We start from the raw sequence: 27,970 nt of genomic DNA on the forward strand, positions 1-27,970 counted from the left end.
GTTTAAGGGAGTCAGACCCCGGTCCCCGGAGCTGTGTCCCGCGGCTGCTTAACGGCGAAAGCTTCCTATTTGTAACCCGAACCGTCTGAGCTACTGGGCATGCCCAGTCCCACCACTGTAAGACTTCGAGTGTCTTGATTTCAATTATCTAGTTCTTACCGGCAGCGGTACTGGGAGGATTTTATAGACGGTTTTATTTTTAAAGATAATAATCACCCTGCAATCATGTATTTTTTTAATTTTAGAGGAAAAAAAATCACATTTGCTCTTTGAGAGATACTACCTTTTGTTTTATAGAAACAAAACAAAAAACATTATATATTCTTTGCTAGGCATGAGGGAAAGACTCCAGATAAAATCCAGGATCTTCCCAAAAAGCCCGTAGAGCCACAAACCTTAAAATCACATCTCCCTATTAGCATCTTCTCCCTAGTAACTAAATATGCCTTCTTCTATTTAGACCCAAAAAAGTCAATCCACAGGTTGAATTCCACATAAATCTATTTTTAGTTAAGTCCCTAAGGCACGTTTTTGCAAGCTGAGTGACAATTCCTCTAAGACTCAATCCCTCAATCCTATGAGCCTTCTTACATCAGAGGGATTGAAATATTATAAAGTATGTATTCAAAGCATACAAATCCTTGAAGTTAGTCTCTGCCCATTTGCAGTGTCCAGAACCAGAAAAGGGAGGATATAATGGTGGTTAAAAATAGTTAAGCAGCCAATAGATGCTGTAGGCTCACCTCTGTTTCACCCTCTTGGCCACACTGACCAAATAATTCCCTTCTCCAAACCAAAATCGAGAGATGTGGGTATAAAATAGCTTAACCCTTTCAAAATTTCCTATATTAATTTAAAATACTTGCAGGGATGCATCAATTAAGGCTACAATTTAATATACTAGAAATCTAAGCCCTGAAGTTTGCTAAATTATAATACAACATAAACAGTTTCCAAGTCAATACATGCGAGAAAGAAAACTTAACCTCTACAATACTGCCCTCTAATGGCATAATATAAAAACCAAAAAATCTACAAAGTACTTGGGGAGACCTCTCTAATCTGTAGATAAAATTGTGTCATCACAAATAATTCCAACATAAAATCTGACCGTAGAACATATATATGTAATACACGCACATGCACAAACACACACAGTCTTCTCTCCAAAATAAGCATCTTTCCTCAAGCAGCATCCTTTTCTAAAATTGCCATCAGATCCATTTAGACAGTTTTTAAGTTGACTCAATGCTGGTAGTGGGGGTAGGTAGATTTGGTTTTCAGAAACTGTCCAAAGTTATTAGGAACCAGACCAGATCGGTAAGCACAGTAAATGATGAAGACCACAATTCTCTTTTGGGTTAAAAACCAAAGTGTGACCAACTATAAAGTGATGAGATTCCCTTTTTACTGAAAGGTTCATATTCTCCAAATTTTAAGGCTTGGCTTTTGAATAACAATAATTGTTAACATATTTATAATTTATAAAAATTACATATATTAACTCATATGATGCTTTAAAAAAAAAGATACCCATTTCCAACAAAAGGAGACTAAGTAGAAGCTTAGAAATCGTAATTATTTGGGAAGCTGGCATGTGGTCCCTATGTCTATGAATGCTAACCAGAATATTATTTACTACATGATAGTCTCTATATTTTGAAAGTTAAAGTTATACCTAAAACTATTTGTATGCTAAATTCCATTTACATGTTTTAACTGAATGCCAACTTCATGAAAAAAGGGTATTAAAGCACCATTTAAGCTATAAAAAGAGCTTTAAAAAACAAAACTCTAAGGTCATATAAAAAAATTTTTAAATTCCAAGCTGCAGTTTTAAAAAATTACTAAATTAACTGAATTTATTCATGCCGTTCTTCAACATAAACAGAAAGCTGTTTTTATTTCAATCATTTTAACTGATCATCCATTGTATCAAGCAAGAGAAGCAAATATAAGCAACCATAGTCTATTTAACCCATTTTCCTATTGAAGGACATTACAGTTATTGTTAATACTTGGATATTTTAAATAAAATTGCAAGGAACATCCTTCTACATACATCCTTGAACATGTATGTGTGTGTGCACACTTCTGGAGAATTTGTTGAGCCAAAGGATAGGCAACTAAAAAAATGATTAGAAATCTAATTTTCTCATATATTTCACATAAATATGCTAGATTCCTTTAAAACTAGACTTTTGTATGAAAACTGAGAAGACATAATTTGAAAAAGAAGGCAAAGGAAATGGAAAGCTCCATGGAGGGAAAACCCTTGGATCAGAAATGTCCGTGGCACAAATGGCTAGAATTACATTCAAAGGCTCTTCTAATTGCAAGACAAACGATCCATATGTCTGGTGCCTCATCAGAGCTCACTGAGACTTGCTGACAGGGCAGAGAAAAATACTACAAGGCTTCCAGGAGAGATCCTTAAAGCCATGGACCATATAAGTCTATTTCAGGCACTGAGCAAAGATCAGGAGGTATCACCTCAGTGGGAACTCATACACATTAAACAGCCTGGACAATTGAGATTGAGGTATTTTCTAGTGTTGTCTGCCTAAAAGCCTTTTTACACAGATTCCAATTCAACTGCTACTGCATATTGGTAGCAAGCATGACAGGATAGGAAAAGAGGAACAGGCCTGAGTGTTTCTGTTTCCTGTAACATGTGCTTTTCTTCCAAACTTAATCTGACTTGGCCAACACCGGTACAGTTGGAGATTCAGCACTGAAATAGAGTAACCTCTTTCTCCCCCTATCCAAACTCCTTGCAAATCTAAAACAACTGCCAGGAAAGAAGCGAAGGCACATTACCCTGTACCTGACCAAATCACTGCTGTCTAAGGACTCCCACGTCACCTCCATTTTTCTAGTTTACTCTCACTAGGCATGGGAATATACTTACCAGGTTTAACAAATGAAACTACAGGACTATCAGTTAAATGTGAATGGCAGAAAAACAACAAATAGTGTTTTAGTGTTGGGTCCCACACACTGTCAAAACAAGAAGAAATGCCAAAGAAATGGCTGTTAAATTCAACCACAATTTACATTTCCTTATCTCCACAGAAAGGCTGGTTGGAAAAAGCTTCCAAAAGAGTAGAACAGTGGCCGGGCGCGAGCGCGATGGCTCATGCCTGTAATCCCAGCACTTTGAGAGGGTGAGATGGGCGGATCACTTGAGGTCAGGAGTTCAAGACCAGCCTTGCCAACATGGTAAAACCCCGTCTCCACTTTAAAAAAAAACAAAAACAAATAAATTAGCTGGGCGTGGTGGCACATGTCTATAATCCCAGCTACTGGGGAGGCTGACGAAGAATTGCTTGAACCCAGGAGGCAGAGGTTGCAGTGAGCTGAGATCGCATCATTGCACTCCAGCCTAGGCAACAGGGCAAGGCTCTGTCTCAAAAAAAAAAAAAAAAAAAAAAAGAATCGGAAAAGAAAAAGGATAAATCTAGGAGGTCCAACATCAAAATAGGATGCATTTCTATTTTGGAGAGAGAACAGAAGGAAGAGAATTATCAAATAATTTAAGAATTGTTCCAGAACTGAAGGACACAAGTCTCCAGTTAAATGAGATGACCAAATGCCCACCACAAGAAATGAAAAAGCCCTCCACCAAAGCACACCACCCTGAAACCTTAATCACTAGGCATAGAGAGAAAATACTAAAAGCTTCCAAATGGAAGAAACAAGTTACAAACACAGGGACTAGGAACAGAACCACTTTGCTGGCAGTCAGAAAAAGATGAAGAAAATGTCTTTAAAATTCTGAGAGAAAAGAGTTTTTTTATCCAGAATTCTTTACTTGGCCAAATCATCATTTGAGTGTAAAGGTAGAATTAAAACATTTTTAGATATTTCAGACACCAAAATGGAGGAGCAAATCAAGAAAAAAGGCAGGCATGGGAAATAGGAACCAGGAACTCAGATACTGGAGGAAAGGAAGGGAATCAGCAGGCTGGAGTGCAGGGAGATCTCAGGGGGACTGCTGCTGGACAAGCCCAAGCTGCAGCTGGTCTGTACCTGGTCTGCAATGGTAAGGGAAGATGGAGAACTCCAGGAGGGAGAGCTTCCGTGCTAATGAACACACAGATTATCTAACACATCTAAGCATTTGCAGGGCACAGGTGAGCTACTGATAGGTGTATGATAGATCTAATGGAACAATTAGATAAGCTCAAAGGCAGTTTTACTGAAAACAGAGCAAGGAAGAAAACACGGAATGCTCATAAAATATACATGACCCATATTATTTTTTCATTTTTTTGTGGATTTACCTTTTAAAAGTTAACTTTATTGAGAAGGTAACAGGAAGAAAAATTGCATGGCAGGAATGGTTTAAAACTGCTAAATCCTAATCTACTACAGCTTGATTACCTAACATCTAAAATGGAAAAAGCAAGAAATAGTGTAAGTATAAATATATTACATAGAAATGTGGAGGTAAAAATGAGAAAAAACAACTAAAACTTAAAAGTGGCTGCGTCTAAGGCACCGAGTGGATAAGTGAAAAAAGAGAACTGCTATTTTTTTCTATTCATTCTATTTGCTTTTTGGGTATGTACATGTATTTTGATTAAAAAATTTAAATAAAATAAATTTTAAACACTTCAAAATAAAAGAAAGGTTTATAGGGATCTGCAGCAGTTCTTCCTGCTTCCAGGCTTCAGCAGAGCCCTTAGCACACCTGCATGTGAGGAAACTACCCGAGGCTGGGGAAAGAACCACCCAAAAGAAGCAAGCAGAACAATTTTCAGAAATCACATAGGGTAGGCACCAGTTGGTATTACCACCCACCAGCCTAAATGAAAAAAAAACTCTGTAAAAAGGGATATCAGATATTCAGAAGTATACTGCCTAAGTCTCCTTCTGAATGCTTAGAAGAATTCTAATTCCCTTCAGTCTAGGACTAATTTAAGGGAAAAATGAGTCCTAGACTGAAGAGTGTTTTGGTCCTACATAAAGCAGTTTAAAAGGAAGCCCTGAAAGGTCAAACTGTTTCCAAGTAACTTAATTTTCTCTCAAAACAAAGCTCAAGAATATTTAATAAAGTCTCTAGCATCCAATAATTCACAATGTCTGGCATCCAATAAAAAGTACTAGGCATAAAAACAAGCAGGGAAATATCACTCATGAGGAGAAAAATTAATCAAAATGACCCAGATATGACAAAGATGATTTATAGACAGGAACATTAAAAACAGTTATAACTATATTTCATATGTTCAAGAAAGTAGAGGAAAACATTAGCATATTAAGGACAGGTGTGAGAAATGTAAGAAAACCTAAATTAAATTATCAAGGTGAAAAATACAATATTTGAGAAGAAAAATACACTAGATGAGATTAACAGTAGATTAGATAGGACAGAAGTAGTATTAGTGATATATGAGCAATAGAAACTATCCAAAATAAAACACAGAAGAAACGTTGAATAAAAAGAACAAATCGGCCAGGTGTGGTGGCTCATGCCTGTAATCCCAGCACTTTGGGAGGCCGAGGCAGGTGGATCTCTTTAGGTCAGGAGTTTGAGACAAGCCTGGCCAATATGGTGAAACCCCATCTCTACTAAAAATATAAAATAGCTGGGCGTTGTGGCACACACCTGTAATTCCAGCTACCTGGGAGGCTGGAGAACTGCATGAACCCAGGAGGCAGAGGTTGGAGTGAGCCGAGATTGCGCCACTGCACTCCAGCCTGGGCCACAGAGCCACAGAGCGAGACTCTGTCAAAAAAAAAAAAAAAAAGAATGAAAAAGAACAAATCAAAAAAAGAACAAAGTGTCAATAAGCTATGGGACAGTTTCAAGCAACCAAATATATCTGTAGTGAAGTCCCTGAAAAAAAAAAAAAAGGAGAGAAAACATTTTAAGAAATAACGGTAATTTTCCTCACATTTTACTAAAACAATAACCTACAGATCCAAGAAGCTAAACAAACCCCAAACAAGAGAATTGTGAAGAAGTCGACAAGGTGTATCATAATCAAATTGCTTACTATCAGTGATAAAATCTTAGAAGCAGCTGGAAAAAATTGCTATGTACAGAGCAACAAAGAATGATAGCCGACTTCTGGTTGGAAACAATGCTAGCCAGAAGACAGTGCAGCAACATCTTTAACTGAAAGAAAAAAAAAAACCTGTCAATCTGTAATTCTATGCCCAGTGAAAACATCTTTCAGAAATTTAAGGTGAAATTAAGACTTTTTCAGACATACAAAAGCTGGAAGGATTCATCACTGTAACTCCTTCAGACAGAAGGAAAATGATACCAGATGAAAAAACTAGATCTACGCAAGAGTGTGAAGAGCACCAGAAATGATAACTAATGGTTAAATACAAAAACTTTTCCCCCTTAGTATTTAAATCTAAGATAACTGACTGTTGCCAGGTGCAGTGCCACATACCTGTAGTCCCAGCTTCTCAAAAGGCTGAGGTGGGAGAACCACTTGAGCCTAGCTAGGAGTTTGAGGCCAGCCTGGGCAACATACTGAGGCTCTGTCTATAATAATCATTGACTGTTTAAAGCAAAAATAACAATGTACTGGAATGTACTACAATATGTAGATGTAAAATGTATGACAAAGATAGAACAACGGCTAAGAAGGGAGAAGGGAAATATACTGCTGAGTACACTATGATAAGTTAAAGATGTATGCTATAAACTCTAAATCTAATAAAGCTAACACAGGAGGATAAAATGGAATCATAGGAAAATGTATAATCTAAAAGAAAGAATAAGAGGAAAAGGGGAATAAAGAATAGAATAAAAAATGAATACCAAGATAGCAGATTTAAACCAACTGTATCAATAATCACATTAGGCTGGGCGTGGTGGCTCACGCCTGTAATCCCAGCACTTTGGGAGGCCCAGGTGGGTGGGTCACTTGAGTTCAAGACCAGCCTGGCCAATATGGTAAAAACCCATCTCTACTAAAAATACAAAAATTAGCTGTGCATAGTGGCATACGCCTGTAATCCCAGCTACTTGGGAGGCTGAGGCAGGAGAATCGCTTGAACCTGGGAGGCAGAGGCTGCAGTGACTCAAGATTGCACCACTGTACTCCAGCCTGGGGAACAGAGCAAGACTCTGTCTCAAAAAAAAAAAAAAAAAAAAAAAAAAAAAAGAAAAGAAAAGAAAAAGAAAAAAAAACAATAATGACATTAAATATAAATGGTCTCAAGCACCTCAATTAAAAAGCAGATACTGCTAGTTTGGATGAAAAAGCAAGATACAACTATATACTGCCTATAAGAAATAGACTTTAAATATAAAAACACAAATAGGTACAATAAGAATATGGAAGAAGATATTCCATGTTAACAATAAAAGAAAGCTGAGGTGGCTATATTACTCAAAGTAGACTGCAGTGCAAAGAATATTATAAAGAATAAAGGTCATTATAATGATAAAAGGTCGATTTTATCATTATGTTCTCTGACTACAATGTAATTAAATTAGAAATCAATAACATGAGATTATCTGAAAAATACTTGGGGAAAAAATACACACGTCTAAGTAACCCATGGGTCAAATAAGCAATCAAAAGGAAGATTAGGAAATATTCTGAACTGAATGAAAATAAAAACAAGGCATATCAAAATTTATTTCAATAAATTTAACAATTTAAACAAAAATGGACAAATTCTTATAAAGACACAACCTACCAAAACTCACATGAGAAGAAACAGATAACTTGAATAGTCCTGTATCTATTTACAAAATTGAATTTATAGTTTAAACTCTTTCTATAAAGAAAACCTCAAGCTCAAATGGTTTCACTGGTAAATTCCACTAAATATTTAAAGAAAGAAATAATATCAATTCTATACAAACTCTTCCAGAGAGACAGAAAATTTTAAAAAACTACTTTACAACTCATTCTATGAGGCCAGCATTCCCTAAACACTAAAGCCAGATAAAGACATTATAAAAAAGAAAAACTACAGACTAATAACTACTTGCATTACCACAGTGTGGTACTAGTAAAATGACAGACATAGAGTAATGGAACAAAACAGAGAGGTCAAAGATACACACACACACACACACACACACACACACACACACAGAGCAAATCGATTTTCCACAAATATGTAAAGCAATTCAGAAAAGAGTCTTCAGCAAATGGTACTGGAACAACTGCAAAAAAAAAAAATACAACTGATCCATTCTTTACGCCATATGAAATATTAACTTAAAATGGATCATAGGACTAAATGTAAAATCCCAACCTATAAAACTTCTATAAGAAAACATAAATCTTTTGAACCTTGAACCAGTAAAGATTTCTTAGGTAAGACACCAAAAGCACAATCCATGGAAGAAAAAAAATTGATAAAATGGACTTTTACCATAATGAAAAACTTGTTTTTTGAAAGATAATGTTACAAGAATGAAAAAACAAACTATAGACCAGAATTAAGTACCGCAAGTCACATATCTGATAAAGGACTTATATCCAGAATATATAAAGAACTCAAAACTCAATAGCAAGAAAACAAACAACCCATTAAAAGAAAAGGGCAAAAGACATGAACAGTCACTTTATCAAAGATATATGGATGGTAAATAAGCGCCTGGAAAAAATGCTGAATGCTATTAATTGTTAGAGAAATGCAAATTAAAACCATAATGATATACCACTACACACCTATCAGAATAGCTAAAATATAGTTTAAATTTTAAACCTGAAAATACAAAATGCTGAAAAGGCAGAAAAATTGGAACACATATATTGATGGTGGGAATGAAAAATGGTACAACCACTTTGCAGAACAGTTTTGCAGTTATTTATAAAGTTAGACACAGAGTTTCCATAAAAACCAGTAATCCCAATTCAAGTTATTTATCCAAGAAAATTGAAAACATGTTACCACAAAAATTTGGACATGAACGCTTAAGAGATCCAAACTGGAAACAAACCAAATGTCACTCAACTGGAGAAAAGATAAACAAACCATGGTACATCTAGACAATGCAATAATACTCAGCAATACAAAGAAACAAACTACTGATACACATAACAACCTGAATGAATCTCAAATATATTATGGTAAGAGAAACAAGCCACACTTAAAGACTGCAAACCATATGATTCCATTTATGAGACATTCTAGAGTAGGTAAAACTATAGAGACAAAAACCAGATCAGAAGTTCCCAGAAACTTGGGGTAGGGGAGGGAGGGGAGATTGTTATGGGTGATGGAACTATCTCATATCTAAACTGTAGTGGTGTTATGCCCACTGTTTTTCAAAACATGTAGAACTCAAAGATGGGAGCAATAAACACTGGAGACTCCAGAAGTGGGGAGGGAGGGGAGCCAGGGCTGAAAGGCTACCTATGAGGTACCTCGTTCACCACTTGGGCAACGGGATTATTAGAACCCCAAGACTCAGCATCACATAACATACCCATATTACAAACCTGTGCCTGTATGCCCTGAATCAAAACAAACAACACTATTGCTGTACACTAAAAAGGCAAACTTTACTATATGTAATTTACATCTTAAAAAATGAAAAGATGACTGCCCCTAAATAGCAGACTGGGAAGAATGAAAAAAAAAAAAGAAGAAGAAGAAGAGGAAGAAGAGGAAGAAGAGGAGGAGGAGGAGGAAAAGGAGGAGGAAGAGGAGGAGGAAGAAGAGGAGGAGGAAGAAGAAGAAGAGGAAAAGAAGAAGAAAAAGAAACATATTTTTAAATTTCTATCTAATCTTTATATTTTCATTATCATTTTTTATTGTAGTAAAAAACACATAAAATTTACATTAACCATTTTTAAATGTATAGCTCAGTAGTGTTAAGCATATGGTTACTATTGTGAAAAAGATCTTCAGAACTTTTTCATGTGCAGATCTGAAACTATCCATTAAATAACTTCCCATTTCCCCCTTCTCCTGCCCCTAGTAACTGCCACTCTAATTTCTATTTCTATGAATTCGGCTACTTTAGATACCTATACTTTTTTTTTTTTTTTAAATTAGAGACAGTGTCTCGCCATGTTGCCCAGGCTGATCTCGAACTCCTGGGCTCAGGCAGTCCTCCCACCTTAGCCTTCCAAAGTGTTGAGATTATAGGCGTGAGCCACCATGCCCAGCCTACATGTAGTATTTTGATTTAAAACATTTTAAACTAAAAGAAAAAAGGGAACAAAAACTATTTTAAAAGATATAATGCAAGGACTTAAATATATTCATTGAGGAGACCTAAAAATGCCTATTTTATAACTAATTGTTCTATCATTATATAAAATGCATTACTAGGCTTGAATTTTTTAACTATAATTTTGCTCTGTTCTTAGAACTGTTGAGTTTGTTGGTGATTAATCATTCCTAAATCTCATATTAGCGTTAAAAGATTTGTAAAAATTAAATACTTGCTTTAAGTGTGAGAATTTTAAAAGTCTTAAAATGCTAATAGATTTAAATATAATCTTTTATTTATATACACCTATATATAACACATGTATTTACCCTCTGTAAATACATTTTTTCTGTATTTTTCTCTCTCTAAACATTTATAATTACTTTTAAATTGTTACAATTCTAGAAACAATTTTAAGTTTTCCCATGGCTGTCTTCACCTTATTTAGCATAACTACTAATTCCAAAAGAATATCTATAATGCTAAGAAGACCCAATGCCTTTTCTTTTTTTTTTTTTTTTTTTTAAGATGGTAAGGGAGACTTTAAGAGGAACTACTGCAATGGGAGAGAGAGATGGGGCTCAACTCCTCTCAATGCCCTTCAGCAACAGGACTCAAATGGTTAACATTCTTATTTTACTTTTTATCTTCATGAAAATAATAAGCATTTCAAACCCAAATTTCTTCATAAATTACCACTTCTGCTTAATAGTGGTAGATTATGAAAATCTGGAGCCACAGACAAAAAAGGAATCACAGATTTAGAAGCCAAATGATATTCTATATAAAACATCTGAAGAAGTGACAAGTTGTCCTGATTATGATTTTCTATTTCGAGAACCTCATGCAAGTGAGGTTCTTGCATGAAGTGAAAAATGAATATTATTTCTTTTACTTTTGCACAGCTATGAAAAATAGATGCTTTGAGCACTTTTTAAAAATAACTAGTTACTTTAAGCTAATTTTCCTGTTAAATTCCAGAAGAAAACAACGATAAGCAGTCCTAAAAGACCTGGTAGGAACTAGACTAACCAACTAACCATTTTTCTATGCATACAGAGCCACTTAGGGTCATTAGAGGCAGTCTCTTGGTGACTCTAAAACAATCAGATGAAGCTCAATTACACAGTTGTATTTACAACGGTAAAGATAAATTTAAGGATATTACCTAGCTCCAGAATGTCTAATGTAGTACAGGCCTAGGTAAGCATTAACACATTGGCAAAGTTGACTCTGTGTGCTGGGGACACAGTGTGTTTACATAATAAATACCTCTGCTTCGATCAAGGGACACATTTCTACATTATGGCCTCCATGGGCAGCAGCTCTGTGACATAAATGAGGTCTGAGGGTTTCTTTAACCCTCTGATCTATTCAGAATTATAAAGCAAAATGGACCTTGGAGATCATTTAATTTTCTTATTCTCTAGGTTTAGAAATGGAGGCTCAAAGGCATTAGGTGCTTTGTCCAGGGTCTACCTCATCAACTGTTGGATGGAGCATAGAACCAAATGCTGATTCAATATAGTGTGCCCTAGAAGTGCACACCAGAAATTCTAGATCCGTGTGTGTGTGTGTGTGTGTGTGTAAGATGTTAGACCTGGAAGAATAAAGGGACCATAAAGTGAAATGCCCTTCTGCTGATCTCAACGGAGCCACAGTATTCATTGAAAGCCACCCATTTTACAGATTAAGAAACAAGCTGGGAGGCTGTGTGGAAACCACAGCCAGAGACCCATGCTGCATGTGAGTCAGGCAGCCTGGCTGCAGGGTTTCTGGGCCTAGTCTAGAGTGGAGCTGGTGAGCTCTTGGTGAGAACTGGCCCTCCACAGCTTCCTTTCTGAGGCTGGGCAGGCTGACAGGGGCACTCAGATCAGTCCCAGTGCCAGTGAGGTCTACAGTTTGAGAAGGTGCTCTCCAGGCACTGGGACAAGGTCCCGACAGAGAAAGGGGCTCACCACAGACACAGAGCCACACTTGCTGACGGACACATTACTTAGTGAATGTGCCTAAAGAAGATTTTCAAATTGTCCTTTCATTAGCCCTGACAGTTCCTTGCAAAGCCCTCAAGAGCTGTGAGAAGACGAGTTAGAGGAAGTCCAAGGGGATCAAAGAAAATGATGCTCACTTGTAAAGAAGGCAGGCAGGCTGCGTCCCCAAGGCTTGTGGCCAGGAATAGGAGAAATGGCTTTAGCGGCAATCACTTTAAGAACTTCTGTGGTGTCCCAATATACCCCAAGGATTTTTACTCTAGGTGGTCATCAGCTTGGATCTCCTTCCATATCATCTTAGTGTGATTCTGACATTGCCACATTCTCCTATCCATGATTAAATAAGGGTAAGAAGACAATGCGATGAAAATAATAAAGTGCTGAGTGGGGCCAATGAAGTGGGAAATAAAAATTTACAATGAGAATGAGGGTCACTTTTTAGCATTTAAACCTGCTGCCAACTACTGTAAAAGAAATGGTCAACATAATACATCTTAGCTAGAAAGATATAAACTAGAATTTAAAAACTTTCTATACATTAGCTCTTCAGCCATTTGATTTACTCGCATTTATTTAACAGTGAGCACCCATGAAAGGCCAGGAACTTTAGGCTTGGCACCACAGTTATCAAGATGAGTAAGACACAATCCTTGCTTTTAGTGACTTGGGGGCAGTTGCAGGGGGCAAGGGGAGAAAGACGTATGATATTTTGTATAATTTGAGTGTATATAAAAAATGATGGTTAGCAGAAAGCAGCCTGGGAGTGTTTCTGAGGGCAGAAGACTTACCCTCTGGGTGTTGAAAAACAAATAAGAGTTGTCCAGTTAGACTACAAGGTACAAAGAGAATGAGAACACTCCATGAAAAAGGAAGGGCCAGGCAAAAGCCAGGGTCATGAAGCAGCATGCTGAGTTTGGACACCTCTCAGTAGTTGAGTGTGGCTATGGAATAGGAGGTTGGAGTTTAGCAGTGGGAGTGAAGAGAAAGGCAGTAGAAGGAAAAAAGTTTAAGACAGGCTGGGGCCTCACAGGCCATGTGATGGGAGACTGGACTTTAGTCTGAGGGCAATGAAGGTCCACATAATAGGGTTTAAAGGGGGCAAATGATGCAATGGGATTTGTGTTTTGGCAAGGTCACTCTGACCACAATGTATAAGACTACAAGAGATGGAACTGGGGGTAAAAGGAAGGAAATAATGAGGGCCAAAACCAAGGAGCAAAGGGGAGACAGAGAGAAAAGTGGGATGGATTCAAAGACATTGCAACATAGAACTGACCGAACTGGCTTGTGTGAGGTAAGGGAGGCAGGATGACTCACAGGTTTCTGGATTATGTGAACAGGTGGAAGGTGATGCCATTAGCCAGAATAAGGCTGTAGGCTAAGGGGAGTAAACTGGTTCTGGGGTATAACATTGATAGGCCTTACTAGGCAGTGGGAAATACGGTTTTGGAACTCAGGTGGGGTTGGGCATAAGAAAATACTGGCATAAGAAAAGTTGTTAGGTTAGCAGTAAGTCTCCTTGGGAGTGGATGAGATTACCTCAGAAATCCATATAGGCAAGAGATGGTGGAGCTGGGCGGCCACACACACTGGGGCAGCCGTTTGGCATAGCAAAGACACCTGAGTTTTCTGTGGATCTAGTGGACACTACAGAAGGTGGCTAGGCTTGAGGCACTTGCAAGAACCTTGAATGGGAGAGTAGCCTCTACCCAACAAGGAGACCAAGACAGAGAAAGTGATTTAACTGTGGAGGGAGCGGGGAAATGAAGAGATCAGGTCAGCTCTCCAATGCCAGGCACCCTAAGGTGCCAGCAAAGAGCCAGCAACTGCGTCCTTTGAGAAAGCTCATGTGGATGGCAGCCTCACGAAATGAGCCAATGGACAGTCCGTTAGACAGAAACAGACAGACGGCAGCTGCAACCGTGACAGAAGCGGGACACTGCAACAGTCAGCACAGAGACTCTGCCCCTCGGTTCTTCCTTCCCACCTCCATGCTAGCGCACTGCTACTGCCAAGAGGGAGGGACGCGTGTGAGAGCCAAAAACAGCCTCCACTCCAAGGCGCCAGTAACAGACTGGGTTCTTTTTTTCCTTTTCAGGGAAAGAGTGGGCAGAGAAGAGAGAGCTTTGATTCTGACATGAGAGTCAAATTTCAAAATGCAAAGAACGAAGTGTTTAAAAAATGGTAAGTGACTGTTTAAATGACCAAAATTAACTGGAAAGCGATGGAAATGGGTCGACATGCTAGTAAGGAAGCCTGCTACCAGAGTGAAAGGGTGATTCAACTGAGCACAATTAATAGCAGTTATTAGGAGAAATAAAAACAAACCATGACATGCATATTTCTCACCAATGAATTGAGACTTTAAGCAAATGGCTCTGGAGGGGATCCAGAAGAATGCGGCATGAAGCCACACGCTGAGGATCAACTGTGAGATGAGGCCATATCATGTCAGGGGCTGAGCAGACCCCAGTGAGCTATAGGGGGCACAGCCCCTTACCTGTGGGGCTGTTGGGGCCACTGCATGCCCGTATCTATCCCACCGATCACCAATAGGACATCCGCCATGGCTGACCGAGGAGAGGACTGCAAACTCACCAAGGGCTCCCTGGCAAGGACACCCCTGTCCTTTCCCACTTTTGCGCTCCCAGCCCCACATCAGGGACTTGTTCAGTCAGGAAAGCAGGCAGGGGACAGATATAGATGGAAACAATCCAGGTCCTCTCATGTCAATTCCAAATTGCTAGAGACACAAGCTTAGTCCGACTTGACAGAAGAGGAGAACTTTGAACAAAACACGATATAAAGCTATCAAATAACAGAACTAAGCCTTAAGAACCCAAATGAGGTTAAGTAACGAGAAGTAACTAACAAGTCATGGAACTAAATAAAGTGAGATGTTGTAAGGCAACCCCAATGTATAGCAAAAAGGAGTGGCAGAGTTGGTGGCAACTACTCGAAAAAGGAAACTGCCGCACACTCATACCCCAGTTAATCTTTACTACTCTGAGGCGGTAGGTACCATTCTTTTCTTCATTTTAAAGTTAAAAAGTCTGCTTGAAGTTTATGGCCTCCTCTGTGCCCGCCCACCTGCCTAATGTGTGGATGACACCCTACAGTGGGCACGAGGGTGAGGGCAATCATATTTGCCAGTGCTCCCAGAGCCCGAGCACAGGGAGCCTGGGCCTCTGCGCCTCACAGGGCCCCATGCCACCACTGTCCTCATGGCCTGGCTGGGCTACTCATGGGGAAGGGTGAGTATGTCTTACAAAGTAACTTGGCTACACTCTAGGGACGTCTGCTTGCCTTCTGACAGCCTGGTGATGCCCCCCCAGTACCGCCAGCTGCTGAGTGACCATGGGCCACTATCCATAGGCTACACCCAGGGAGCTGGGAACAGCCAGGAGCCCCAGTGAAGAGTTGGGGAGAGATCAACCCTGCCTACGTGGAGTAAGAACAGAATAAAGAGACTAAATCGAGGCATTATTCACTCTAGAAAGCTGGTAAGGTAAGTGCTTGGCTAAAACCGAACAGAGTGCCATATCCTTGCTGCTTTTGGCTTTAAAGGTTTTCCATCTTTTTACAAGATGAGAAGTTACAGTTCACCTCCCCTGTTTCGATGAAACTCTTGTTTTCAAAATGCTAACAGGTTGGTTTTTCCTCCCATGTTTCACCTGGCTCTGAACTACAGTCTCACAGATTGAAAAAAGATTTTGCAGTTAATTAGAATTTACATTTTCAGTAGTTAGGAATTACCCAAGTTATTTTTTAAGCATTGATTTAAAAGGTGCATGTAAAGTTATCTCAGCAAACTAGTTTGCCTCTAAGATACCAGTGTCTCCCTTTAACCTTCTCCTTTGAATATGTTTCTGTGCCCCAAACTGTTCTGTTAAGCTAATACAACCATAAGGATTTTGTTTCAATGCATACTAACAGCGCACTTAGTAGCCACTCCTCGTTTCTGCTTAATATAACTTTTTTGCATAAACATATGCATGACTATTAGTGCACTGAAGTCAATTTTTAAAATGCACAAGTTATAAATACAGCAGAATAACCTACCAAACTTAACAAGGAACACCCAAAATTTTCAAACTATCAGTAGATTTCGGTTATGCATACTTTAAGTTGATCAAAACTGGAAGAAAATAACTGTTTATATCTTTATATGTATTTATTACTTGATGCAATAAAGCTTATTTTCATTAACACAAACAAATCTGATAGTGGTCAGACAACTTACCCAAGGAGACATATGTTTAACAAATGGCAGAGCCAAGATCCAAACTCAAGTCAGTCGGCTTTGGTACAGGGCATGACTCAATAATCTAGCAGAACCAAAAAGTGGGCTATTTCTAGACACCCCAGAAATACGCAGTTCAATTAATTTAGTAAAAAACTGACACCTGTCCTTAAAATAGTAAATGTTACTTCTAGTCATCATGGCTAGACACCTTCAGACAATTTATATCTAAAATATACAGATTTATCAGAGTATTACACGTATGTTTCTAATAAGAAATGCTCCTAATTGAAGATGCTTCAATTTTACTTAATGATTTTGCATTGGTTTGAAGGTAAAGTTAAAACATAAAGGATTAATTTAGTCTGGTGTAGAGGGAATGAATTCCTTTGTTTCATTACCCAAATTAAATACTACATATATTTAAAAATTCAGTTGCATTATTTTGAATAAAACAAGATGTTTTACAAAGGCCATTAAAATGATGTTGGTGACAAAGCATAAGTTCCATCACCTATTACGTAACCCAAGTTAGGGTAATGCTGCACAAACACATAAAACTGAATACCTCAAATACATATTGCTAGTAAAAACAGAGTTAATTCTAAAAAAACTTTGGCTTTAATACATTAGATTGGGGGAGGGGGACAGCAGGGGAAGACCAGTTATGTTATATGAAGAGATTTTCTTTAAAACCAAGTTTCTTACCTAATCAGGATAACTAAATTAAATGAGTGATTAACCTGTTTTAACACTGAGGTATGCTTGGAACAGAAAGTATTTTTTTAATGAAGTATTTACATTATGTAAACATATATAACAACATCTATGTAAGTTAGGAAGTATAACGGTAGAACAAACACCCACAAACTGCCCCCCGCTAAACTAAGAACGTTATCAACACCACTGAAACTCTTATGCTCCTCCTCATCCTCTACTCCCACACCAGGGGCAATTCTTCTCCAGCCTGAAATCATTCCCATTTAATTAGTTACTATATTTACTATGTTTAGTTACTATGTTTATTGGCTTCCTTCCTCCACTAAAACATACTAGACAAAGGCAGAAGTTTTGTTTACTAATACTTGATTAGACTTACTACTTGTCAGTCCCTATTCTACACGTTATGTATATTACCTCATTTAATCCTTTAAATAACCACCTCATCTAGGTACCATTATTATTCCCATTCATATAGAGGAGGAAACCAAGGCGCAAAGGAGTTATGTGACTTGATAAGGTCATACTCATCACCACTATGAAAAGCAAAAAATACTTCTGCACTCTTATCATAACAGATGCTGTCATGTTTTAGTAATCTTCAGTCCCTTGAAAGACTGGTTATCACTGGAAATAGTTTTTTTTTAAAATAATAAAAATTCAACAAATATATATTGAGCACCCATTTTGTGTCAGGAACTGTTCTAGGCACAGGGGATTCAGTATGAACAAAATGGACAAAAGTCTCTGTCTTCCTGAAACTTACATTCAACTGGGGCTGAAAAAGTAAACAAGACAAATAAGTACATATACAGTATGTGAGATAAGGACAAGTACCCAGGAGACAAATTAAAGAACAGAAGCAGGGATATGAAAGATCAGAGAGGATGAAATTTTAGCTAGCTTTCAAAGAAGGACTCCCTGAGAAAATGAGTTTTGAGTAAAGACCTAAGAGAGATGATGGGATTAGTCATGGAAGAACTCTTCCAGCAGGGAGAACAGCAAGGGGAAATGCTGTATTCAAGAGACCCAACAAAGTCAAGACAGCATGATGCATCATAGGACTGCGCAGTAACCAATGTATGATACAAGAGATCTCTCTCACTTTTGCTATCTTGGTTTTCTGAAAGACTCTTTTTTAAAGAAACATGCTTACTGAGACCATCATTATGGTACACGGTGCATTTAAGAAACACTGTTCTGCACTTAATAGCAATAGGTATTACATGCCACTTTATATTCTAAACTAGTTTCTTCAAGAATTATTTTGGGATGCTTTTCACTTTCCAATAAAAACTTTCCCTGTCTGGAAGTACAAATAAGTCAGGTCCTCCTGTAGAATCATCTGTCTACAAAATTTAAGCACTAGATATGCAATGATAGCTCTTTTTTGAGTCTTGCTTTGGATAGTTTCAAGAAGCCATGAGAATTAATCGCATAGGGAATCTATTACAGAGCCTTTTAAAGCTACTTCTGACTAAGCATGGTGCACCGAACACACTCATTTATCTTTATTTCTACCTCACACCACTAAAGAGATGAGAACCCAGTTTTAAATGCATAAGGATAGAGTAAATATAAAAGAGACGTCAATTTCAATAGTTTTTCAAAGCTGGAAAAAAGACGGTAATTCATCAAGTTGAAACCTGAGCAAGCCGTAAAGAAAGTCCAAAGACCATTGATATGCAGTAAAGAACTCAATACTCAAAAAGTACAAGGTGCAGACAACATAAGTCTGTATAAGACAGACCCAATCTTACTCAACTGAATAACTGAGCAATTGTATCTGGAATTGGTTCCTTCCCGTGGGTTGTTGGTCTCGCTGACTTAAAGAATAAAGCCGTGGACCCTCGCAGTGAGTGTTACAGCTCAGCTCATAAAGGTAGTGCAGACCCAAAAAGTGAGCAGCAGCAAGATTTATCGCTAACAGTAAAACAACAAAGCTTCCACGGCGGAGAAGAAGACCCGAGCGGGTTGCTGCTGCTGGCTGGAGTAGCCAGCTTTTATTCCCTTATTTGGCCCTGCCCACATCCTGCTGATTGGTCCATTTTACAGAGCACTGATTGGTCCATTTTACAGAGTACCGATTGGTCTGTTTTTACAGAGTGCTGATTGGTGCGTTTACAAACCTTTAGCTAGACACAGAGCGCTGATTGGTCCATTTTTACAGAGTGCTGATTGGTGCGTTTACAAACCTTTAGCTAGACACAGAGCACTGATTGGTGCGTTTCCAATCCTTTACCTAGACAGAAAAGTTCTCCAAGTCCCCACCCGACCCAGAAGCCCAGCCGGCTTCACCTTTCACAATGACTAACAATTCTCTAGTATAGCCAACACTCAGTCAAAAGGAACCTAGAGGAAACAGAGACAGTGTAGGGAACTGAAGAAACTTGTAAAATCCTAAAAGATTACATGGATAAAATAAGAGGAGGACAACATTCAGAACACTAGAAAGAGCTCTTGGAAACTGAAAAATTGATATGAGAGCATAAGTGAAAATGTGCTAGAATAGAAAGTAAAGTTGAAGAACTATCTCAGAAACTAGAACAAAATACCAAAAAGGTTAATACAGGAAAGAAAATAAATAACAGCTATTAATATTTAGAAGGGCTAACACCCTAACAAAAGAAGTTTCAGAAATGTGCAATATGGACAGGAGAAAAGTGTCATAAAATAATTCAAGAAAACTTCCTAGAACTACAGATCAGGCTTTTTAAAATTAACAGAGCCTATCAAGTACAATCTGTTCCATTATAAAACTTGTTTGGAAAACACCAATTTGTTCCAACACAATTCATATGTTAGAGAACAATTTGAGCGTAATGCACATTTCACATTTGCTTATGTGTGATTTTGTTTGTGAGAAACATCAGGTGAACGCAGGAAACTGCACCCAGCTGAACCAAAACTGCACCTAGGAAAACGCAAACAGCACATATCTCAAACATGTAACAGCTACCTCAGTTCGGCACGTTTGTTACTCTGCAAAATTATGTTTTGCTATTCTTTCGCAAAGGATAACTTTTCTATATAAAAACACGCATTCAACATCTCAAATATGTCTAATCACACTGGATCAAAAACATCAAGCAGCATGCACAAAAGAAAAGCTTTTAAATATTGAGAAGCCAGAAATAAGGCATTTTGAAAGAAATGAGAGAATATGTGATGAGAACATGTGGTATCTCCCAAGCAACAGAAATAAAATTCATGTTGTGGGCCTTCACAAACAACGCATGGAAATAAAAGAAACGCCTATTGGTAAAGCAATTTCAAGGGCTGCAAAAAGAGCAACCCCTAAAGAAACAGAAGAAAAAGAAAGCTTGTTGAATATATGTACTGAAAAGCAAATAGCAAAAAAAAAAAAAAAAAAAAAGGAATACTTTTTCTCAGAATCAAAGAGAAAGCACTATTTATATAAAAAGGAAATCGCTAAATCCTGCAGAATTTGCTCCTTTTGTGCTAGCAGTGGCTGGTTTAGTAGTTTCAAAAATCTCTATGATTTCCAAAGCCTTCGGTTGTAGGGTGAAGCAGAGAGCTCACCTAAGAAAACTGCAAAAAGAATTTCCAGCAGTGATACAGAAGCTAACTGAAGAAGGTGGCTATATATTGGGTCAAACTTTCAATTCTGATGAAATAGTTATCTATTACACATACATCAGATCTGTCAACTGACACTGTTTCATATTCTTGGACAGAATTAGAAAACTAAGTTTCCAAGGATTTCAAAGTCTGCTCATATAAAAGTAGAACAAGTTCTAGGATCTACTTTCACTTTTGAAACAGATAGGTGAAATCTTTGAAGCCTTTCCAGTCACTATATTCTATCAAATCTGATCCTCCTAATTTCTCACTGTGATTCTATCAGCAAAAATTCTTAATGTTCTCTTAATAGTATGATCCTTTTCCTTTTTAATTCCAACTAAAGCATCATTTCCAAACAACCTTTGAAAGCATCTATGATGTTGTTTTAGCCATTTAAGTCCATAAATGCAATTATAAAACATCTTCATCAGTACTGACTTTAGTGCAGCTTTTTAAAGAGTCAGATTTTGAGCACTGGAGTTAGAGCCTAATTCAAATTTCCAAAAATCACTTATTCATAGTAAAATGGAAGTGATAATACATATTTCATAATGATGGCAACAGCAGCCCATCTAGAGCAGCCACTGCAAAGACGCTGGCTGCAGCTGGGGAGGCGCGGCGGGCATTGCAGGCTCCAGAGAGACAGCAAGGGCCAGGAACAGGCGGGAGCCCCACCCCCTACCAAGTTAGCAGGACAGAAGCCTGCACTCCCAGGCACAGCTGCAGCTGCCCAGCCGTACCTCCAGACCTGGGCATCCCTGTGCTCTCGGGGACCCAGGAAGCCCCACTTCCCCCACAGGCTTGGAAGGGCCCGATCCTGCTCTCTGGTCTCTCCCCACTCCCAGTGCCCGCTCTGATTTTGCAGCAAAGTTATGGCCAAGCCTGGGCGCTGTCCGACCAGGTGTGTGTGTGCGCTCGGGGCAGCAGCTGACATGCCAGCCACCCCTACTCTGCCTCGGCCCCCTCTGGACCTTGGGCACCGACAAGTGCAGGAAGAAGGCCAGGGTGGGGCTGAGGGCAGCTCCATGCAAACCTGCAGGCACCCCTCAGTACGAACAGCCTGGGCACTGTGGATGGCATGTTGATGGCGGGAGGCAGACAGGTTCTTGGAGAGAAAGGGGAGGATCCCTAGTGAAACCCCACTTTCAAGTGGTAGATGGCCTAAAGCCTGGGGGCTGGGCTGCCAGTTCCGGGTGGAGTCCGTGGGATGGCAGTGAGAACTTGTGCTTTTTCCAGGCCCACTCATGGCCGTCCATGGACCAATCAGCACACACTTCTTCCCTTCTAAGCCCATAAAACACCCCCGGACTCAGTCAGACTTGCACAGATGTGGGGACTACCGGTTGCAGGAAGGAGCGACCCACTTGGGGTCTGCTCGACTTGTGGGGAATGACCTGCCTGTGGAAAGGAGCTATCCACTATGGGTCTCCTCTCCACTGAGAGCTGGACACTTGCCAGGATGACCTGCCTGTGGAAAGGAGCTACCCACTATGGATATCCTCTCTGCTGACACCTGGACACTTATTGGCACGACCTGCCTGCAGAAAGCAGCCACCCACTTTGGGTCTCCTGAGAGCTGTTCTGTCACTCAATGAAGCTCCTCTCTGCCTTGCTCTCCCTCCAGTTGTCCACATACCTCATTCTTCCTGGACACGAGACAAGAACCCAGGACCTGCCGAGTGGTGGGACTGAAAGAGCTGTAACAGAAACAGGGCTTGCCACATTGCAGGTGACAAGAAAGAGAGAAGAGCTGCAGCCCTTCAGGAAGCCCAGACCTAGGGGCTCCCCAACCCAGGGCTGTGACACCCTCTTTGGGGCTCTGCAGTTCCTGGCATCTCCAAGCTTCCAGGCGCCACTGCACTCCCCGGTGCCCACAGTGGAAGCCACTTACAGTATGCCTGGTCTAGCCGCAGCCTTGCACAGAGCCGGCGCCTAGAGCTGCCTACCCCGCTGCAGCCAGCACACCTGGCTGTGCACAGTGGTGAGACCCCAGGCTCGTTTCACACACCCCTTGCCACTGACCCTTGGCAGGCATGGGTGCCTGTCTCATCCTTGGCAGGCATGGGATCCAGGACAGTAGCACAAGCGGAGAGCAGCCAGCGGAAAGCAGCCAGCCAGGCCAAGTGGGTGGAATTATTAGCTCAGAGGGCCTGAGAAAACTCCAGCAAAGGTACCCCCAGCCACAGAGGTTTCTGGCTGAAAAAGCGACACCCCAAGGATCCTGTGACAATAATATTGTTATGACATTTAAAAGAGATAACACAAGAAAAGAACCTGGCTCTTTCCACAGTAATTAAGGTGACCAATTAAGGTGAAGCCCTTGTGTTCTGAACTACTTGGTTTTAGCCATAATTGGGGTTAATCAAAAGAGATCCTCACATTTCTCAAATTACTCCTTAAAGTAGAGAGTTGCTTGAGAATGGCCTAATATAAAAAGTATTATTATAGATTACTTCCAAAGGAAATTTTTTTCAAATACGAAAACCACCTTTATACAGCTTGATGCCCTTTTCCATGACACAGAATAATTATCTGGAGAAGCAATTTATAAGTGACTTCATTGTTTTTGGTAAAAGGGCAACTCAAATTTTGCCTTAATCCCTATGACATGATGAATTAGTTCAGAGGGTGATTCCTAATATTTTTTTACTTTATGTCTTTAAAGAGAACCACCTCTTACTTCCTCACCCATTTATTTGATGTCCTAAACTGTGTTAGAGTCCTTGCAGCCTCTTTCACAGAGGCCATCTCTGCCCTCCTAGACTGTCCTCTAGGAAAAGCTATGGAGGGAGGCCCCATCCGCTTCTAGTGTTCTCTTCCCTTGATTTTGTCATATTTGTTGCTCCAGCAGGAAATCAAGTGACCTTCTCCCCAGAACAAGGAAGAGGAGATAGTCTTTCTTTCCCACCACAGCTCCTTTCCACAAATACTTAATTCACAAACATCTTGTGCCTGGCATTATAGTAGTTACTGGGCTTCTTTCGAGGAGTGAAGAAGCCCTCCTTCTAAAAAGCTTTCAAACCAAAAAATGCTAGTAGAAATGTGAAAACAATGGTTTTTCTTAGCAGTAGGAATGATATAATTTATCATCTAGCTTTATCACAGACCAGTAGAACAGAGATGTTTTCAGATAAAAACAGCTTTCTTGTTATAAATTAAAGTTCAAAGAGAAAAGGAAATGCAAAACAATACTTTTAAACCAAATTTAACTAGGACAGTGGAATGTTTATTGAACAGCTAAATCCTAGGTAATATAATAAGCATGGTACACAGTATCTTGCTTAATATTCAACTCACGTCTATTATCATTGCATATACAAATTAGTAGTTAACTGAGACTATGCAAAATTAATTTGTTCACTCTCATACTGCTAGTAAGTATAATAGCTGACCTGGAATATGAACTCAGGTTTTTCTGACTCAAAAATCTAACTTCTTTCCATACACTTAAATATTTATTTAGTGCCTACCTGTGGTAAGCATTGTGACTGGCCCATAGTCCAGAAGGGGTGGTAGATGTGTAAGCAATAATTATAGGGCAAAGTAATAAGTGTGATATCTTAGGTATATGGCAGGTACCAGGAAAGCATAAGAGAAGGTAACCGAGTAAAGTACTAGATGGTGAGTAGTCAGTAAAGATTTCACCAAGGAATTTTCTCCTAAATTAAATCATCAAGAATAATCTTAAAATCATTAATTAGACCAGAGAATGACTGTATTAAGGGAAAAGCAGAAAATGTCCAAAACAGAGGCAGTAAGTCAAAGCATCGTTATGGAAGGTGCCCAAACAGTAGGGTCCTCTGAAATAATTACAGTATGGTGGGAAATTAAGGCAGATAAATACTCATTCAGAGATCTTCTAATCCCCCAAAACACTGAAAACACTGCTAAGGAATCCGAAATTCACCCCACAGCACATGAGCCCCAGCCAATCAGAACAGATACCAGTTGTAAATGGCCAGTTCAACCTAACTAGTGCAAACCAGCGAAATATCAACCCTGCCTTTAGGAAATAGGAGCACCAGTGGGGTGTTTACCGCAGGGGAGTAGCCTGACCAGCTCTGTATTTTAGGAAGGCAATTCCTAAATATATAGCATGAAGATATAATATGAAGTATGAACAGAAGGAAGGCAAAAGCAGAGACCAGGAATAAATTCTGTTAAAGGGTTTCTGCTGGAGGGAGAGGGGAGATAAATGATTTTAAAAGACGCCAGGTAATCAAAATGTAAACATCATTTCAAATGAGTCTATTACAATAACAAATAGGACTATGTATTATACAGAAACCATTACACAATAAGAATAATTCAGACTGGTGACTCTGCGATTACCCCCACAAATATATTTGAATGTTATTTCAGCAGAGTAACAAGAAAATTACTATCATTTAACTAAGCACCTTGTTTTGTTCAAGTTACATAACATCAAACATCTATTTTACAAACATTTTTGGAAAGGTGCTGGACCATAGAAAATATGGTTCTATAAACTCTACATCACAATGGCCTCATTTAATCTATTTTATGGAAAAAGAAAGCAGACTTGTTCAACAAAAGAAAGAAGTACTGATATATTTCTAATAAGCCTCTGAGTCCTACTCTGTGATCATTTTATTATAGCAAATGTTCAAGCTATATATTCTGGCCCACACTACTTTCAGTTATATGGATCACTACTCCAGTAAACCATTTACAAGCCTACAAATGGCAATGTGTACAATTACAGCACAAAAATCTAAATAAAAACAAATCTTATACAATATCAAGATCTGTAAAGTGTCCATATTATGAGATACAAGATATTAGAGGTTCCTCTACTTATAGTATTTGTCTGGGTGCTTTAAGTAGTTGATATAGGCTCTATTTCCAAATCAATAAGATAATATAAAAATTCAGAAAGACCCTCAAAGGAACACAAAATAAGTCATAAAACTAGAGTACAGGAGAATAAGGAACAAAAAGAATCAAGCATGGTATGTCTCAGATCCATTAGGACGATTAATGTGTTTGGGAATTTTTAAAAACTGTTCACTTATTTGTGAAAAGTAAAGAGTTACAGCTAACATATAATTACAAACTATAAATTATAAAGATTTTAGATGCATATTGCACTTACAAAGAGTTTGAGGAACTTAAACAGTTTAAATCCTGCCAGTCATCAATGAAAGAGATCACTTAATACTTTCTTTCTTTCCCCTACTAATCCTAGTTCTAAAATAAAAACTAAAGCTGATCATACAAGAAAATATTGCCTATGAGTTTCTCATGTGTTTGATTAAAGGGATCAGTTTTACTTGACAAAGTAACAAAAACAGACATCACCATCTCTGTATAAGCATAGAGAACAAAAGTAATAAATAGACATAAAAGCTACATGGTATTTCCTAAAATTATGAATTTTCAGCAAACAGTCCATGGAAATTTCTTTTAAGTGTGGTAATGACCTAACATCCATACATCAAATTCAACTTATTTGACAAATCTGCAAGCTTCTCACATATCTGTATTACTCTTCAGTCTATCCAGAATTATAGAAATAGCAGTTCTAGCTAAACTGCAGTTTAATTACTGGTTGACTTTGAATTAGAAGTTAAGGTGGCTAAACAGCCCATATGTTAAACATAAAAAACTTAAACTCAGAGGTGGGTCAATGCAAATAAAATCAGATTCACTGTTGAATTTCATTAGGAGGTTTGCATAAAGAGAACAGTTCTCTCTTTCAAAATGGCCTTTTTAAACAAATAGCTAACTCCTTAAATGTGTGGCATTTGATTAGAGGATTTCATGAAAAAAATGTATTTGCAAATTAATGGCCATTTGCTCTAAAGATATAATAAAGAAGAAAAGGTTTTAAAGAATCCTTACCTATAATCCAATCATGGTAATTGTCAAAGAATGCCAGAGTAGAAGATTAAATCATAAGAGAAAAATTAGTCATTTCCCATACTGTTTACTGTACCTGTTTTTGAGTTATCTTACATGTATGTACCTAGCTTAAATTTTCATATTCAAGCATGAAACCCTCATGCTGGCCTATGGAGAGTTCCACAGTGCTAAGAACTGAGGTGCTTCCTGCCAACAGACAGCATCAGCTTGCCAGCCATGTGAGTGAGCTGTCTTAGGATGGATCTTCCGGCCCCAGTGTCAAGTCTTGGGATGATGGAAGCCCTAGCTGACATCTTGACCTCATGAGAGACCCTGAGCCAGAACCACCTAGCTAAACCACTTCCAAATTCCTGGCCCTCAGAAACTAAGATGATCCTCATTGTTTTAAGCCACTGAATTTTAGGGTAACTTGTAATGTAGCAATAGAGACCTAATAAAAGGACATGTAAAAATAATAATAGTATTTTAGTGTGACTGTAATAGAAGAAGACTGGGAGTAATTTTGTCTTCTACTTCCTAAACTTTCTTTAAGGTTATGTCACTTTCATTGTTCCATTTTTTTAAAAGCGTAATGTTCATATTACTCCCACCATTTTCTTTGGAGAAGTTTTACCGAAGTCATTCACTCATTGAACAAATGCCTGCGAGGATGACAAGTCAGAATAGTCACCATCACTGACCTTACGGAGTTTACAGACTTTAATCAAATTTGTCTAGGATTACAGATAGTGACATAGTGATATAGTCTTTTTTTTTTCCCTATGTTTCTGGAAGGCAAATTAATTCCTTCTAGAAGGCAAATCAATTAAGTGATTAGTAAATGGGATAATGATGTCAGCATAACACAAAAATTGTATTGGTTCACAGGGTTTTTTCCTTCACAAGAGCACTCAGTACAGCTGGTGAATTACAGCCTTTATCAAGAATGGAAAGAGCTCTCAGCTCTGCTGTATAGCAGCAGGAAGAATCTTTTCATTTGTATTTAACAAGACCTAAAAGCAAGCACTTCCACCAGGAGCCCCTACCAGCTTTGTGCTCCTTTCAGCTTATGCCAGGTTACCCTGACTCTTGTACCCAACCTTACTGCAGCGCCCCTGGTTTGGAGCTCCACTTCCTTCTGTGTTATATCAGCACCTGCCACCTCTGCTCTAATTAAAATGTTGGTAGCATTTCACTCTTCTTTGTGTATTTTTTAATACCTACCATTAGAGCTTGCTGTTTTACTAAACTGGTACCAACTTTTTGTTTTCTCACTGCTCTGGTTACAATGCTGCACAAGTTTTGAGTGGTTGACCCCCACCGTGTTTTCTTCATAGGCTGTCTTATTTTTAACACATAATGCTGCAGAATGAGGTATTTAGGAACATATATATCGTGGCATAGAAGAAATGT

The 27,970-nt window shown here is 38.7% G+C and overlaps 1 protein-coding gene and 1 long non-coding RNA gene across 8 annotated transcripts in view, besides 2 other annotated features; one reads left to right on the top strand and one right to left on the bottom strand.

Moving 5' to 3' along the window:
• Window positions 1-27,970, bottom strand: part of TSC22D1 (TSC22 domain family member 1) — a 145,202-nt gene that overhangs the window by 5,033 nt on the left and 112,199 nt on the right. The window contains exon 1 of one of the 6 annotated variants that reach the window (NM_001243797.2): window positions 1-73. The exons of the other annotated variants lie outside the window; for them this stretch is intronic. The gene's annotated coding sequence lies outside the window, so the exon portion shown is untranslated. Of the gene's footprint in view, window positions 74-27,970 lie in introns of those variants that run through there. 6 annotated transcript variants of the gene reach the window in all.
• On the top strand, window positions 29-27,516 carry LOC124903167 (uncharacterized). Of its 2 annotated transcripts, XR_007063778.1 has the most exons (4): window positions 29-117; window positions 14,243-14,328; window positions 15,461-15,652; window positions 27,446-27,516. It is a non-coding gene; the product is annotated as an uncharacterized LOC124903167 (long non-coding RNA). The 2 variants fall into 2 exon arrangements; XR_007063777.1 differs by lacking the exon at window positions 27,446-27,516 and having other exon boundaries at window positions 15,461-16,355.
• Window positions 14,840-15,341: an enhancer, noted in NCBI's record as "H3K4me1 hESC enhancer chr13:45026151-45026652 (GRCh37/hg19 assembly coordinates)". NCBI's record gives its function as "activates a minimal SCP1, AML or CMV promoter by ChIP-STARR-seq in naive H9 embryonic stem cells {active_cell/tissue: H9 hESC(naive)}" and the evidence as "EXISTENCE:reporter gene assay evidence [ECO:0000049][PMID:30033119]".
• Window positions 15,342-15,841: an enhancer, noted in NCBI's record as "H3K4me1 hESC enhancer chr13:45026653-45027152 (GRCh37/hg19 assembly coordinates)". NCBI's record gives its function as "activates a minimal SCP1, AML or CMV promoter by ChIP-STARR-seq in naive H9 embryonic stem cells {active_cell/tissue: H9 hESC(naive)}" and the evidence as "EXISTENCE:reporter gene assay evidence [ECO:0000049][PMID:30033119]".

The sequence above is a fragment of the Homo sapiens genome, chromosome 13 (genome assembly GCF_000001405.40).
Source record: "Homo sapiens chromosome 13, GRCh38.p14 Primary Assembly".
Classification (NCBI taxonomy): domain Eukaryota; kingdom Metazoa; phylum Chordata; class Mammalia; order Primates; family Hominidae; genus Homo; species Homo sapiens.